Source organism: Homo sapiens, chromosome 1 (genome assembly GCF_000001405.40).
Source record: "Homo sapiens chromosome 1, GRCh38.p14 Primary Assembly".
In the NCBI taxonomy this organism is placed as follows: Eukaryota; Metazoa; Chordata; class Mammalia; order Primates; family Hominidae; genus Homo; species Homo sapiens.
This window is the reverse complement of record NC_000001.11, coordinates 94070186-94086959: the sequence shown is the minus strand read 5'-3', so window position 1 is coordinate 94086959 and position 16774 is coordinate 94070186. Positions and strand designations below refer to the sequence as shown.

The 16774-nt window shown below is 43.5% G+C and overlaps 1 protein-coding gene and 1 long non-coding RNA gene across 3 annotated transcripts in view, besides 1 other annotated feature; one reads left to right on the top strand and one right to left on the bottom strand.

Annotated features, from left to right (window-relative positions):
- The window catches only part of ABCA4 (ATP binding cassette subfamily A member 4), a 128315-nt gene that overhangs the window by 34189 nt on the left and 77352 nt on the right, over positions 1 to 16774 (top strand). For both annotated transcript variants that reach the window (NM_001425324.1, NM_000350.3), the window contains exons 7-11: positions 3519 to 3608; positions 6242 to 6482; positions 7499 to 7638; positions 8254 to 8370; positions 9073 to 9270. In NM_001425324.1, the coding sequence (NP_001412253.1) occupies positions 3519 to 3608; positions 6242 to 6482; positions 7499 to 7638; positions 8254 to 8370; positions 9073 to 9270 (786 nt within the window). The remainder of the gene's footprint in view (positions 1 to 3518; positions 3609 to 6241; positions 6483 to 7498; positions 7639 to 8253; positions 8371 to 9072; positions 9271 to 16774) is intronic.
- Positions 1526 to 16601, bottom strand: LOC124904222 (uncharacterized). The gene is made up of 2 exons (XR_007066231.1): positions 16400 to 16601; positions 1526 to 3231 (listed from the first exon to the last, which is right to left on the bottom strand). It is a non-coding gene; the product is annotated as an uncharacterized LOC124904222 (long non-coding RNA).
- Positions 14653 to 14947: a silencer, noted in NCBI's record as "tiled region #14437; K562 Repressive non-DNase unmatched - State 22:ReprW". NCBI's record gives its function as "represses a minimal TATA promoter and a strong SV40 promoter by Sharpr-MPRA in K562 cells {active_cell/tissue: K562}" and the evidence as "EXISTENCE:reporter gene assay evidence [ECO:0000049][PMID:27701403]".

The window sequence follows — 16774 nt, the reverse complement described above, 5'->3', positions numbered from 1 at the left end:
CCCAGCTGCCAGATCTGTGGGAAATAGATTTCTGTTGTTTACCCAGCTTATGGTATTTTGTTGTAGCAGCCAGAGTGAACTAAGACAGTGCTGATCTCGTATTCTTGGAGGGAACCCTTAGTCTTTAGGGAAAGCAAAGCCACCATTTGGGGCAGGGTGTTCTCCAAGTGCTGCCACATATGCTGATGTGGTTAAACTGCAAACTATGGTAAAAATGTGGAGGTCTGTGGAATTGTCAATCAGGAAAAAGATATAAAAAGAAGTTAAAGTCTTCGTGCTTCTGGAAGGATATGTGCCAAATTGTTAACATTGATTATCCTTGGGTAGAGATGTGGGGAAGTTTGCAGAGACAGTTTTGCCTTGTACTTTATATAAGTAAACAGCTACTACTTCGTTGTCTTAAAAAAAAAAAACAGCCTATGTGCTCTTCATGTGACTCAGAACTACCTAGGCAATACGATTAATTGAATTAGTAAAATTGAGTGATTATGAATTTTCAGGAAGTCATTAATTTACCACTTCTTTATTACATCCACTTCTAACAGGACTTCAATATAGGGGAATTTGACTTCAAGATAAAAAGACCAAATTTATTTACCCTTTTAAAAAAAGACAACTTAAAAGCAGACTTGTCTTACAGAACCTTCCTTAGTTGGACATCGATGAGTGTACAGAAAATGCAATGGATAAAAAGCTTGGTGATACAAAGATAAAAAGTGGGGTCCTGTCCTTAATGAACATACCATTTCATGGAGTATCAGGTGTATAAACAATTATAATCAATCTGCTTGTTATTCTGATAAGATCATTTACTCACACATCAAATACTGAGTGCCCACCACATGCCCAGCATACCTAGAAGTCATCCAGTATGATTTCTGTCTACATGGAGCATAGAGTCTTACAGGGGAGATAGATGACAAGTAAACACCAGAATAATTACCAATGGTGAAGAGCACAAGGAAGGAAACAGAACTCCTAAAGAGAGCGTGGCTGGGCAGGGGTGAGCAAGAGGCATAGAAAAAGGGGCATCTAAATCTACTTGGGAGGAAGCTGTTTCTCACATAGGTCATCATGTTAGGAATGAGACTTGAGGGATGAGTAGAAGTTTGCCAGGCAAAGAAGGAATGGGGGGGAATAGAGAGCAGAGCTAGGGGCAGGAGACAGCTGACGTGTGAGCAGACATAAAAAGAAGTCCACTGTGGCAGCAGAGAAGCAGGAGAGAAGGCAAGTGAGGGAGCCAGGCACCAGCTCACAGAGGTCATGTGTGTCAAAACGTAGTAATGGCCTTCTCTTCTGGAGACAGTAGGGAGCCATGGAAGATGTTTGAGCAGGGAAAGCGACATGACTGGATTGGCCTGTTGGGTAACTCAGACCACAATGCATTGGAAGGGAGGGGGCTAGAGGCAAGGGGACTGGCAAGAAGGCCAGTCCTTTTTCTATGCCTATTTTGATGAAATATTCTAGAAGGGAAGTGAACAAAGGTAGTCCTAGAGAGGAAGAACAAAACAGATAGGATACTTCCTTAGTATTTGCTCATTCGACAATTTATTTTTGCATATACACTAAAACCTTTTTTATTATTAAAACGTTTTATTGTAGGAAAAAAGTATGAAAGTAGAGTGAATAATAAAATGAGCTCCCATGGATCTATCACCCAGCTTCAACTATTATCAATATTTGGCTGTTCTTGTTTTAACTGTTCTCCACCTTTTTTTCCTGAAGTTTTTTTGAAGCAAATCACAGACAACATATCATTTCACCATATGTACTTCCCTCTGTATCTCTAACATGTAAGAACTTGTTTTAACAAAATCACCATGCTATGATCATACCCAACAAAATTTATCATAATGTCTTAATAATACCTAATACCCATTTCATGTCCACTTTCCCCCAATTGCTACAGCTGGTTTGTTCAGATCAGAATCAAAATCCACCTGTGGCCATTTTACTGCTATGTCTCTCAGGTCTCTTTTCATCTCTAATAATCTCAGGGGAGACAGGAGGGAGGACGGGCAGGACTTGGGGCTAACTTGCTTATCGACACACAGTTTTGCCTACTTGCTTCCTCCCTTCACACCCACTCTTCTTCTCAGCCCCACCCTTGTATGGAAAAAACAGAAATTAAAGTGCTTTGCCCAGCACCCACTGAAGCTATTTCGAAGGAGTTTGAAGAGTACTCCCGGCAAGACAAATGCCTCGGTCCAGTGCTCAGGTCAAAGAGGGGAGACGCTTCTCAGTGATGTGGTGTCAATAGCAGCTTAGTTGTTCTTTCCTCTGGAAAATTCTACCCATCTGCTTTGTAACTCCCATACCTAACAAGGCCTTTTATTTCACAATTAGAAAATAAGCCTGAAATATGAATGCTGCCTGAGTGTACCTACATTTATTCTAGAGTTTCAGGGTCAAAAAGAATACAAGGACCTCTGCATCTACAGCCAAGAGGAGAGGGGCAAAGACACACAGCTACAAATGAGAACCTGGCTGGTCAAAGCCTAACTCCACCTGTTTGTCAGCACTGATGCAAGTTAGGTCAGCCCAATGATCATTTAGGAGAACTGTGCTGGCAAATAAAAAGCAGAGGCTTTTGGTCCCCAGATACTTGGATGAGAATTACAAGTCCAGCTGGTTAAAAGGCACATGCCCAGTGCTCACTTCACACCTACTCAGGAAGCACACTTGAGTTGGAAAACCACTGTCTTTACACTTAGAACTCAGTCCTACATGACTCCTCTAGGATCAGTGATTCCATCAGTTTTGAAACATGAAGCATGAAGTCAAACAGGACATGACCTTGGTTTCCAGAAAACCAGATGTTCACATCAGTCTCTGGAGCTTGGAGGCAGCACACCTGGGGACTTCCACATCCCCTGCCGAGGTGGCAAAAGCAGGAGCAGTGGTGAGTTCACATGGGCTGGGGTTTCCTGAACACTGCTGGCAATTGGAGAATCTGCAAGGGAACTTCTCCGACTCCTACCAGCAGCTGCTTTAAAATAAAGGTGATGTAGCTGGTCAAATCCTCCATGAGAGAGCAGTGTTGAATGGAGGAAGAGACACAACCTGTCTGAAAATGGCACAAAGGAAGAAAGATGTAAACAATGACGAGAAGACTGCAGTGTCTACAAAGCTCCGAGGTGAACAGATGGGCACCCCAGGCCCGCAGCACTTCCTTCAGTCTCTGCCAGCTGCACTCTGTTTTCCTTCCTCCAGGAATCTTGTTTGGTGTCACTAAAACAGCAATTAGAATCACTTTGAAATAGTGATAGTATTTAATATAACTATGAAACTATCTGTGATTGACAAGTGCAGCAAGGAGTCTTGGAATGAGAGCCTTTATTTTTTCAATTAAATAAAAGAGTTTTTTGTTTCTAAAAGTAATCTTGCAGAAAAGATCCTGCGATCAGAAAGAAGGAGGGGGGGAGTTTTCAAACATATAGGAGATCAGACTGTGCCTATGTGTGTATATACCTACAAACATATATATATTTAAAAAATTGTTTTACTGTCAATTACAGCTTCCCACACTCCTAGACAGCCGTTCTCAAGGTATCAATCTGAGATCTTGGGGAGGAATATTATCTGATATGTCACCAAGAATTCAAGAGGTGAGTAGCCTGATGGTAGTAATTATAATTTCATTATGTCTTTCCACCATTTACCCCACTTATGTCAAATAATTTAATTGTATTTCAAACCTGTTCAAGGAAAAGTACATTTGATCTTTCCATCTAGCAATTTCAAAGCACCTGTTCACATCCCAAATTATCTGTGCTCTTAAGTAAGAGGCAGAAAGAAAGGAACCACCCTTCTGATTTCACATCAAAAAAGAAATGCCACTGGCAATAAGCAACTTGCCTGGTGTGGCATAAATCATCAGAAGACTTACAGTTGAATCTAAGTCTTTTCAGTACTGAGGTGGTTCATTATTCTGTTACAGTCTTAAAATTCACATAAATATATACTGCCAATAATAATAGCATACACCTTTATAGCTTACAGGCACTCTTCTTCTAAGTGTTTTACCTATGTTGGCTTATTTCATCATAAAGAAAACAATGGACTTTTGTGTTGTTTTGTAAAAAGATGCGCACATTTTAATTAACATCTGATTGCACAAGTCTCCTCCCATATAGAAATGGATTCTTCCACGCAATAGATAAGAGGTGCTGGGGATATGATGATGAACACACAGATTTGGTCATGACCCTGTGGGAAAGAGAGATGGGAAAAAAACAATTCTCTTCAAGTGTGATGAGTGTTACGAAAGGGAGGGAAAAGTTGAAACAGGTTTTTTTCCAAACTTTTCTCCCTCCATTATTCGCAGCTGACTTGGGCTCCACCAACCTGGAAAACTGCATGGTTGGAATCTGTCTTTATAAAACGCATCTCAACCTGGGCCGAGTATGCACACTGATGTGGGAAAGTTAGAGAAGAGCCCATTGTACTAATGCTCACCTGCTACAGTGGGAGTCTCTGTTAAACAGTCTTTTCTTCATAGCATTAAAAAAATTTATATCACTACAATAAGGTTGAAATTGATAGAGAATGTACAAACAATCCCCAAAGTATATCAACACTCTTAGTTCTGAGTAGAAGTTCCAGAAGGCTTCTTGACTGTCTAGATAGCAAGTCTAATCATTTGTGAACTAAGTTAAAGCAGAAGGCCCAGTTTATATGAATTGGTATTACACCATTTGACCTGAGAACAGCCCCTTCATCTCTGAGTGCTTTGACTAAATGAGCAACATAATAATAGTAATAACCCCTTACAAGATGTCATAAGACTCACTGTTGTTGAAGCAATTTGAGATTTTGACTTTATTGAAGCATAGATGGTGATTATAGGCATGACTCACTGTGTGGATTCTCCCTGGGCTCATCAGTTTCAGAGGGCAAGTGTTGGCATGTGGACAAAGAGAGGGATGACACGTAAACATGGCTTATTGCAATGGGGAAATATTTTCAGTCTCACTGATTGAATCCTAATGGTTTTATAAATTCCCCAGTACCACTGAAAGCAAAGCAAGTAATCAGGTGTGTTTTAGGAATAAAAGCAGCATTATTTTAATTTCGTATTTTCCCCTAAAGCAAAGCCAAATGGCATTATGGGAGCCAAGCTACTGGCAGCTCCACCAGCCTTCTCCTGAGTTCTCGGCATTACAGATCTACCCTCAAAGGATGAGGCCAGCAAGCACCACAGGGTGCCCACATGGAGAAGAGAAGGCCACCAACCTCCTCTTAGCTGGCACAGAATTGAAAAAGTGTTTTTCCAGGAATGGATACTTCATCTGTTCTGTATTTGCTAGAATTTTAAAACGCACACACAGACACACACAGGCGTGCACACACACACGCACACACACACGAGAAAACCACAAACCACACATTTCAAGGAAATGGAAGAATTCATTGGTAAAATTAAGCTAATAAGATTATTTTCCAAATATAAGAAACTAAATTTTAGACTATTTAGCCAAAGAAATTTGCTCTGATCTTGCTTTTCTACAACAGAATCATTCCCCAATCATTTTATTTCCCTCTTTTTCTCCCCAGTATCCCCATCTTGGTGGGACAACAGAACCCAAGAACTGGCTTAACAGTAAAATATTTTCTGCATTTGCCCAAGGACACATTCCCAACGAATTCAAATAAAGGAGACTAGAAGAAGAGAGGCTATACTACAGTGCTCTAGGGGTCACTCTGTGATTTGTTGTTGTTGTTGTTGTTGTTTTGAGACGGAGTATTGCTCAGTCGCCCAGGCTGGAGTGCAGTGGCACGATGTCTACTCACTGTAAGCTCTGCCCCCCAGGTTCACGCCATTCTCCTGCCTCAGCCTCCCGAATAGCTGGGAGTACAGGGGCCCGCCACCATGTCCGGCTAATTTTTTTGTATTTTTAATAGAGACGGGGTTTCACCATGTTCGCCAGGATGGTCTCGATCTCCTGACCTCGTGATCCGCCCGCCTCGGCCTCCCAAAGTGCTAGGATTACAGGCATGAGCCACTGCGCCCGGCCACTCTGTGATTTTCTTTAAGGCTCATCCTAGTATTCTCCTAGTCCCTAAGTAGATGGCAGTAGGTTTTGTTTTTTGTTTTTCGCAGCTGGATTAAGGATTGCTGAGAATATATGGATGTTTTCTTTTAAATGTGGAAGTCAAACCAAACGTTGGAGCATTGGCCTCACAGCAGATTATGACTCTAGCTGCCTTAAAATAACCTGAAGACTTTGCCTTGCCCTAGTTTATCCATCGGCCGAGTATGCAGGACTTGCTGTGGGTGACCAGGCCCCTCATGCAGAATGGTGGTCCAGAGACCTTTACAAAGCTGATGGGCATCCTGTCTGACCTCCTGTGTGGCTACCCCGAGGGAGGTGGCTCTCGGGTGCTCTCCTTCAACTGGTATGAAGACAATAACTATAAGGCCTTTCTGGGGATTGACTCCACAAGGAAGGATCCTATCTATTCTTATGACAGAAGAACAAGTAAGTTTTCTGAGTCCTGCTTATAAATTGGCCTCTCATGTTGGTTAAGTTGATGGTTTAACACTTCTAGGTGAAACCAAACCTGGGGTTGCATCTGTCTTGTCTTGCTGAGTGGCCTTAGGTAAAGAGACTTCTCCCAGAAAGTCCACTTCCCCTTGCAGAAAGGGGGCATTGCTTATAAGCAATTCTGGACATGAACCACAGAAAGAACTGAGGCCCACTTGGAAAGGGAACAGAGGGGCCATTTCCCACTGATGTAATTGAACTAGGGCTAAGTTCAAGAGGAAGAGAATGATCCGCAAGGAAGCAACCCAGAGTTCCAGGTGAAGCTCAGGTCAGAAGGGCCCTGGCAAGTAAACACGGCTGTGGGATGCTTTTACAAACACAATATCGTGAAAATCTATGTGTGTAGTACTGAATTACATTCCAAATGGCAAATTCCTGGCAAATCATCTTCCCCACCTTTCACTATTTTTTTTTTTTTGGTCTTCTATGGGGTAAAGGAGGATGGGGTGGGGAAGAAATGTAACTGGCTGCCCCTCTAGTTAAAAACTGAAAAGAGGCAGCAAGGGACATGCCAAAAGTAGTTGGACTCTAAGATAGCTACACACAACAAAGCAGCTAAGCAGCTAATTGAAGGGAAATTACTGAGGCTCAAGCTGAGATTCCAAGCGGGGGCCTTGTTTGGCCTCTCAGTCCCTTTCATCTGAGAAAGGCCTCAGTTCCTAGCAGTAATCAGAGGCAGGCTTCTCAGCCTCCTTCTCCTAAAGCAGAATAAACCACAGGGCAAGTCGCATCCTTTGTTTCTCTGATGAGGCCATTACTGAGAGTCACTGTGGCATTTTGCTACTAATGATGAGCTTGTTATTGGTGGGGTACAGCCTATTAATTTAGGTTATTCATCAAATCCTCCAGCATGGAGTTGAATGAGACATGTGATGTGGATACACTAATGACTATATTGAGTTACAAGCAATGGGGAGTTTCTGTAAAATCTGTCCCTTGTCTCCTGGCAGCATCCTTTTGTAATGCATTGATCCAGAGCCTGGAGTCAAATCCTTTAACCAAAATCGCTTGGAGGGCGGCAAAGCCTTTGCTGATGGGAAAAATCCTGTACACTCCTGATTCACCTGCAGCACGAAGGATACTGAAGAATGTAAGATCCCAGCTGGGCTTGCCTTGTGTACCCTGGACCTCCCAGAAGTGTGTGTGTGTGTGTGTGTGTGTGAGAGAGATGTGCCTTCCTGGTAGCACATCTCATGTTTGTTTTTTGCTAAGTGGACTCTTGCGTTTCCTCCCCCATCCACAGTCATCACTGGAATGCTTTGCTTCAGTGCCCCTGCCTGGGCCCTCCCCTCTCTACTGCAGCCTACAATGAGGTTTTCTTTCCCATTGCTTGAATTATATCCCTAATGGAAGGGTTCACAATTCTCTGAATCCTGGCTACTCAGATAAAGACAGGGAGGAAGGGAGGAAGGGTATTTTCTCCCAGGGGGTCCAAATCTAGCTTTAACGAGGGAGGTTCTGAGAAAATAATATCATCAATATTACATGGACTTCTGAGATACTAAGAAATTAGATTCTGTCAGCCCAGGAAGTTGGGAGATGGTGAATTGTTCTGGGAAATAGCAATAGACTGAGAAAATAAAAACACTTCCTTGAAAAGCCTTTCCCTAACACTAAGTGATAGGGGCAGAAAAGACACAACCAAAAGTTCTCTCTCACTTTTCTCTCTGTTCGTGTCTCTGTCTTGATCTCTGTCTGGTTTTAGGCCAACTCAACTTTTGAAGAACTGGAACACGTTAGGAAGTTGGTCAAAGCCTGGGAAGAAGTAGGGCCCCAGATCTGGTACTTCTTTGACAACAGCACACAGATGAACATGATCAGAGTAAGGGGGGTTGGAGGATGGGGAGGGGAGGGGAGGAGGAAGCGGTGGGGGCAAGAAAGTTCCACTTGTTTCCTTTTCCCAGGAAAGAGTTAATCGCTATTGGAGTTAGATCAAAATACAACAAGCAGGCCCCAAAGGCCTTCATTCCAAGCAGTCACCAAGTGGGGTCACTGACTTTGGATGAGAAATATGTTTCTTGAATTCTGGGAGAAGTCTAAAAGCTGCCACAAGACCAGTGGCTTCCTGGAGTTTCCTACTTTTATGAATTCACTCAAGGGCCTCAAATTCAAAGAGGCATCTCCCCAAGGGGCCAGCTCTGTAACTCCAAAGATGGTGGAATGTGTTTGTCTGGTCTCATTTTCAGCTTTGCAAAATGAAGACAAGAGTTCTATATATCAGGGACACTCAAAAGAAAACAAAAATATCCATAAGCAAAAGAAAGCTTTTTATACACCATATTCAATGACCCCCATCTGGCCCCTCCTTTGCCCCTACACATCTTCCCTCTATTCTAGAGACCCATGGACTTGGGGAAATGGGATATAGATAGGTATGTTTCATAGTGGAACAAGCTCACCAGCTCTTCAGGGAGCCTTAGCATCTCTATCCTCAATCACTAAAAATTAGAAATGGCTGAAGAACAAGACCAAAGATCCTATGGAATTTCTAAGCAGAGCAGTGACTGTATTTCTTCTTCCCAAGGATACCCTGGGGAACCCAACAGTAAAAGACTTTTTGAATAGGCAGCTTGGTGAAGAAGGTATTACTGCTGAAGCCATCCTAAACTTCCTCTACAAGGGCCCTCGGGAAAGCCAGGCTGACGACATGGCCAACTTCGACTGGAGGGACATATTTAACATCACTGATCGCACCCTCCGCCTGGTCAATCAATACCTGGAGGTAAGGGGCTGCAAGCCCCACAGTGGGCCCCTTGAAGATAGCCCCATGAGTGGGGCCAGAGCTCCCTTAGCAAGTCAAGTGGTCTTGAATTTAAGCTTTCATTTTCCCCACTGAAGAAACAAGAATCCCTACATCCCCTGTACAGTTCTCATTCTCTAACAGCTTATCCATACTTAAAACTTATCTATGCTGAAAACGGTTTCCTCTTCACATCTCCTACTTCTCATGCTGGGCACCTCCTCCTGTAGCCCCCTTTAAGCATCTGTGTCTGTCCTCAACCCTCTTCTGTCTGACATTGCTTGAGTGGCCATCTATGGCCAGTGTCCCCTCAACCCCACAGTCCATTGCTTGCTGGACACTCCTGCCCTCAAGTTCTACAAGCACATCAGCCTCAACATGTCCCCTCCAAAAACTGTATGTTCTCCTTGCCCATAGAACATATCCTTCTCCTATATTTCCTATCCTAATTAACGTCCTCAGCATTTGCCCGAATTCTCAAGTGAGGGATTTCAGGGTCATCCCTAATTTTCCTTCTTCACCCTCCACACAGTAGCTGTCACTTACTGAGTGTTACTTTATGCCAAGTACTGTGCCAACTGCTTTTACACACATATGCTTCATTTAATTCTCACAGCTCCATGAGGCTTGCACCATTATCATTGCCAATTTGCAGATGAGAAGCCAGGGCTTAAAGAGGTTAAATAAGATCCCACGCATGACCATTAAGAGGAGCGAACAGGATCCAGCTCTGGGGGTGCCTGAGTTCAGAGCCTGCCTTTCTGATTTCTCTTACCAAGCTTTGTCTCCTCTCCCTCCTAAATATCTCTCAACTCTGCCTCTTGCATTCCAGGCTCTCTGAGGACTAGAGGCCTTGTCATCTCTGCGCCAGCCCATTCCAAGGGCTTCCTTCCTGGAATCCAGGGTCCAGCCTCTGTTGGCCCAGGCATTTCTCTACACTGGCACCAGAGTTACATTCCGCACACCTGCTTACGTTGCTCTCTCACTTAAAATCTTAATGACTCGACCCCCAAATAACACAGGTCCCTTCCAAATCTGTCCTACCCCACCTTCCCAGCCCTTGCTCAACTCTGCTACCTGGCCCTTTCACGCCTACAGGCATTCCCATTCCATGACCTCTTGGGATTCTACCCTTTGCAAATGCTGTTTTCATTGCCCATTTATTAGAGCGCTTTTGGTCACAAGCTTTTTGCTTAACCAAAAAGAAAGCATTTATTGGTGGACATAAATAATGAAGTTCAGGAGGATCCAAGAGTTGGAAGCCACCATGAGACCCCTGTGTCCTTCCACCTCACTTTTCTACTCGCCTCTGCTCAGCTTCATCTCTGGCCAGGCCCTCTCCTCTGCTGATGCCCTAGCTGCTTACAGCCCTTAGCAGTCATCTATACACCAAAAATCCCTTTCCCATAGCAGAAGCAATGCTCCTAGAGAGTTTCCCTGTTGGTCTGGCTCCTGTACCCACCCCTGTGTACTCTGATTGGGAGGCCTGGGTCAGCTGCCCACCATGGGGCCATTTCTATGAGCAGGATTACTGTGAAGTGGAGGAAGATGTTTCCCCAAAAGAAGAAACACAAGGTAGAAAAGTGTATGTCCACCAATGCCTGAAATGACTGTCCCTTTCCTCATCTGCTGAGCTTCTACTCATTCATTCTTTGAGACTCAGCACTCAGCTCTTAAATGTCACTTCTGCTTTGATGGAGGTTTAGTCATTCACTCCTCTGTGCTTCCTGGCCCTCTCTTCACACCTCTCTCAGACCCCTCTCCCAGATAGATTAGAGTTGGCTGTTGACATGTCCATCTCTGGCTGGGCAGCTAAACTGGAGTTATTTAGAATCAGGGAGCACATGTCAGTCATTTTCAAATTCTCAACCTCATACTCCCAGTAAATGACTCCATCTAAGGGTGGACCACTCTTGCCCATGGGCCAGGTCTGGGTCTGTGTCATCTAGAACTGTTGGAAGGTAGGGGCTTCTGTGAGCAGTAGGAGAGGGAATAAACTCGAGGGCCCTCGGGAGCATGCCCTCTTGTCTCAGACTTGTGAGTCCTGAGGATAACAAACTAGTGAAGAAAAGCCTCGTTCTATCTGTCACCTGGTGCTCTTGAGGACTTTCTGTTGCCCTGGTGCCACCACAATTTTCCAGAGTGTGTGACCCTCGCTCTCCAAACTCTGGAAGTGGCAGCCGAGGCTCCCCAGTGGCCTTTCAGAAGGTGCCAGTCATGACAGCAGCACCAAACTGCAGGCAACTACTAAGCGATCACCAACTTGTCTGAAGATAAGAATGACCTTGAATGCATTTTATAAAACAGGATTTTTTTTTTAATTTTTAGATTTTCTTTCTTTATTTTACCTTAAGTTCTGGGATACAAGTGCAGAATGTGTAGGTTTGTTACATAGGTATATGTGTGCCATGGTGGTTTGCTGCACTTGTCAACCCATCATCTAGGTTTTAAGCCCCACATGCATTAGCTATTTGTCCTAATGCTCTCCCTCGCCTCGCCCCTACCCCACCCCAACAGGCTCCGGTGTGTGATGTTCCCCTCCCTGTGTCCATGTGTTCTCATTGTTCAGCTTCCACTTACAAGTGAGAACATGTGGTGTTTAGTTTTCTGTTCCTGTGTTAGTTTGCTGAGGATGATGGCTTCCAGCTTCTTCCATGTCCCTGCAAAGGACATGATCTCATTCCTTTTTATGGCTGCATAGTATTCTATGGTGTATATGTACCATATTTTCCTTATCCAGCCTATCACTGATGGGCATTTGGATTGGTTCCATGTCTTTGCAATTGTAAACATACATGTGCATGTATTTTTATAGTAGAATGATTTATATTCCTTTGGTTATATACCCAGTAATGGGATTGCCTGGTCAAATTGTATTTCTGGTTCTAGATCCTTGAGGAATCACACTATCTTCCACAATGGTTGAACTAATTTACATTCCCACCAACAGTGTAAAAGCCTTCCTATTTCTCAACAGCCTCACCAGCATCTATTGTTTCTTGACATTTTAATAATCACCATTCTGACTGGCATGAGATGATAGATACCCATTTGTCAGATGGGTAGATTACAAAAATTTTCTCTCATTCTGCAGGTTGCCTGTTCACGCTAATGATAGTTTCTTTTGCTGTGCAGAAGCTCTTTAGCCTAATTAGATCCATTTTTCAATTTTGGCTTTTGTTGCAATTGCTTTTGGTGTTTTAGTCATGAAGTCTTTGCCCATGCGTATGTCCTGAGTGGTATTGCCTAGGCTTTCTTCTAGTTTTCATGATTTTAGATTTTACATTTAAGTCTTTAATCCAGCTTGAGTTAATTTTTGTATAAGGTGTAAGGAAGGGATCCAGTTTAAGTTTTCTACATATGGCTAGCCAGTTTTCCCAACACCATTTATTAAATAGGGAATCCTTTCCCCATTGCTTGTGTGTGTCAGGTTTGGCAAAGATCAGGTGGTTGTAGATGTGTGGTGCTATTTCTGAAGCCTCTGTTCTGTTCCATTGGTCTATGTGTCTGTTTACAAAACAGATTCTTAAGCATCAACCCAGATCGACTGGCTCAGAATTTCCAGGGAAGAGGCCTGGTTATCTGCATGTTTACAGACCTATTAGATTTGTGGGACCTGCAGTTCCCTTGTACAGTTAGTTACTCAATTAACATCTCCCTCCTCTCATGGTGCCTCTACCTGCTAAGCCCTTATTCCCAGCCAGGCCCACCACCATCCACCCACTGCTGTTATAACATAAGCAGGACCTGTGCGAGGGGGTGTGGACGGAGGAGAGAGGCTCTGTTGCTTCATTTGTGCAGCATGGAGTTCAGTGGTTCTCACAATGTTTTTGCAAAGTATATAAAGAATACTCCTTGTCTACTTGACATTCGTATCGTGACATAAATGTCTTGTTTTCCAGAAGGATTATTTTTTCCAAGCAGCTTGTTCCTAATGCAGCCCCAGGCACCAAACAGATACTTAAAATATATTAATTGCTTAAATGGTTAAGAATTCAGTCTCTGGACCCACACTGCCTGGGTTCAAATTCCTATTATCTGTGCCCAGTTTCCAAGTCTATAAAATAGGGATATTAATAGCACTTACCTAATAGGCTCGTTATGAGAATTAAATGAGCTAATTCATGCAAAGCACTGACATATAGTAAGCACTTAATAAATATTAGCTTTTTAACAAAATACAAGCCAAAAAACACTGCTTAGGAGAGGAAATGATGTTAGTGCCTCCTGTAAATAGGCCCAGCCTCCAAGCTGGTGCTCCTCTAGGAATCACAACGCTGCAAATCACATCCTCCGGGGCCGCCAGGACTTCACGAGGGCCTCTGAGCAGAGGGGTATGATGGGAGCAGAAGCCCAGCAGCTGTGATGATGTGGTTTCTGATCTTCCTGCCCTTGGGGTGGGGGAGGAGGAAAGCAAGGGGCAATGAACAGAAAGGAGAAGATAGCGGGGAGGAAATGTGTGAGGAAGAAACACATCACTGTGGCTTGTCCTGGATTTTTCTGCTTCTGTTCTCGTGTTTTGGGAAGTCTGGAGGAGACTTGAAAATCATTCATGTCCCCACCCTGAGGATGGCTTAGTAGCAGAGAGGCCATGAAAACTCTTTGCTGATGGCTCTGAAAGCAAGGATGTTGCTTCACTGGGCTGCTGAAGGCCTGCCTGGGGGTTCTGAGCAGAGAGTACAGGCCCCTCCCAGGAGGGCGGCCTAACCACCATGCTGGCATTTCTGTGGACCATGGTCTGCTGTCTCAGACCCCCTCCACAATAGGGTCTGCAATCTCATTCACCCCATAAATACATTCTGTCTTTCCTCTGATCCCCTCCCATTAGCAGGGGGAAATAAATGGAAGTCAGACGGCCCAGTTAGAAGGCAGGCAGTGGAGTAGGAAAATAGATGATGGTGGTTTGGGGAGCCTCACATCACTCATGGGGAGACATTCATTCCCATGGGCCTTCCAATCACCCTTTTCTCCAAATCTAAGGACACAGGACAAATGGGTCCTCATACAGGCAAATATCTTAAACTGGTATGTGTATTCATTTATAGTTCTAATTTATATGTGTCTTTATTCACATATATTTTGCTTCTGGAGAAAAGCTCAATTAGAAAAATTAATACATTATTCTTCTTATTGCCCTTCAGCTAAAACAAGCATACACACCCCTCCCCTTTGGATTTTTTGTTTAGCAAAAGGTTAGGCCTGGCACAGATGAAATACTATTCAGAGTTCACAGTGTATTTTCATTTCATAATATATTTGATTTTCAGGTCTTGAATTTCACATCAGGAAGCTGATATAGGAAGCTGAATTCAGCCAGATTTTAATACGAAAATACCTCTGATCAAGGCATAAAATTGTACTTTAACCAGTAACCACTGTATTTCTCTAAGCTGTGAAAAAACATGCATTCATTAACTGCTTTTTCCTCTGCTGTCAACACAGTCAATACATGTGCATAACTCCTTATTGTCTACATGGTGATTATCTTGCTGATGAATTCTCAAAGGCCAGAGATTTGGACTATTTTTTCTCTGTAACCTTGCATGTTCCTGGCCACATGCCACCACCACCCAAACAGAATGTACGCAGGGAATGTATTTTTCAGGATAACCTAAGAAAAAATAGGATTAAGAAGATAAAGCTGCTGATCATGTAATGTACTTTAGACTCAGATATATAAATATTTGTGAATTATCTGTCCTATTTCTTTCTTCTATTAATTCATTGACTCTAGATGTGCATTGGAAGGCTAGGGAGAAATCAGGGGATCGTGAGAAAGAGCACAGAAGTCTGCATCACACAAACAATATTATTTCAAGAGCCATGAACTAGATCCTAAGCAACTCATAGGCAATGACCTCATTTCATACCTCTAGTCTCTAAGAAACATATAACTGGCCTGAGGAAGGAAAATGTGGGCAAGGGGTAGACCGGGGTCATGGGTGGAGGTCCAAATAGTAATCAATGGAGCTCATAGGGTGGACTGATATTGAAGCTGCTATGAGCCAGCCACATGCTGGGCACTGTTACATGTCATCTCATGCAATACTCCCAATTACCTGCCTAGTAAGCATAATTGTCATTTTATAGAATTAAAAACAGACTCAAAGAGGTTGACAGTCTAATGTAACACAACAGCTAAATGGGGGATCTGGAATTATAATCCAGAGCTGCCTGGCTCTGATGAGAAAGCTCTTTCTGCTGTCATATGCAGCCCACATTAATAGGGGGCTCAGAAAGTATTCTCTGGATAAATTATATAATGAATCCAATGAAGGAAGACATTATTTTATAATATGCAGCATAATAGGCACTATTATGATTGGATTTTCCTGCTTGAAAGTAGCTAGATTAGAGTAGGAAACCAAAAAGATGTGAATTCATTCAGTCATTCATGCATTTGCATGGATTGAGCTACCTACATTTGAATAAATGCTGTTAATCCCTGATTCCTTGGAAGCTCACATTGGAGAGATAAGCATGTCATTAAATAATGCCATAATAGTGGTATCTCAGAGGACTAGCAGAACATAATTCAATCTGACAGAGTAGAAACAGATTGTACAAATCCAATTCAAAACATCATAAATCCTCTAAGCACTGTCAATTCTTCCTCCAAATTATCTCTGAAATTCCTCCTTCTTTCCCATTTATGGCCTCCATTTACAGAAGCGTGTACTGTCTCTCTTAGCTGTTTGCCAGGCCGCCAGTCTCTTGCTGTTCAGCTCTCAACTGCTTCCAGCAAGATCTTTCTAAAATCCCAGGCTTGCCAAGACTTAGCGCCCACAGCTCCACAGTGACTCCTCATTGCTGTTAAGGTAAAGGCCTTCCCAGTCTAGCCCTTCATGCTTCTTCCATGTTCTATGGGACTGCCCCAGGCTTCCCACCTGGTACCACTGAGCCTTTCCATCCTTCCCCCACTCGACTGCCAGGTCAACACCCACACCCACGCTTCAGGACTCAGGTCCTATGTTTCGGGCCTTCTTCTGTGCACCATTCCCTTCCCTGTAGCCCTTGATCATGATTTGTTTATACGCCTCCGCACCTTCATGGCCCTGAACCCCTCAAGGGCCGAAACTGCCTTACTTTTCTTTTTGACTTCCCAACTTACCTTAGTGGAGCTGTAGTCACATAGAATAGACGCTCATAAATGCTTCTCTGGGCTGTAAAGGTTGAATTTTCCAGCTAAGCAAGGAAGAAAGACAATTTCAGGCAGGAGGAAGGGCATAAGCAAAGTGCAGAGATGTGAAGCTCAAGAGAAATGGATGGGCTGGGCAGAGGTGTGGCTGCAGCATCAGGGGAGAAGAAGTAGTGCCTGGAGTCAGCAGGCACGGCTTGCAAAAGCTTCACCTATAGGTGAAAGGACACCATCTCTTGCACCAATAGGCTCTGTGATTGGAGGCAACTTTGCTGTTTTACTGCCAGAAAACTGAGGATGATAACCCAAACTGCAGTTCAAGTGGCATTCACTGGTGTGGCTGAAATG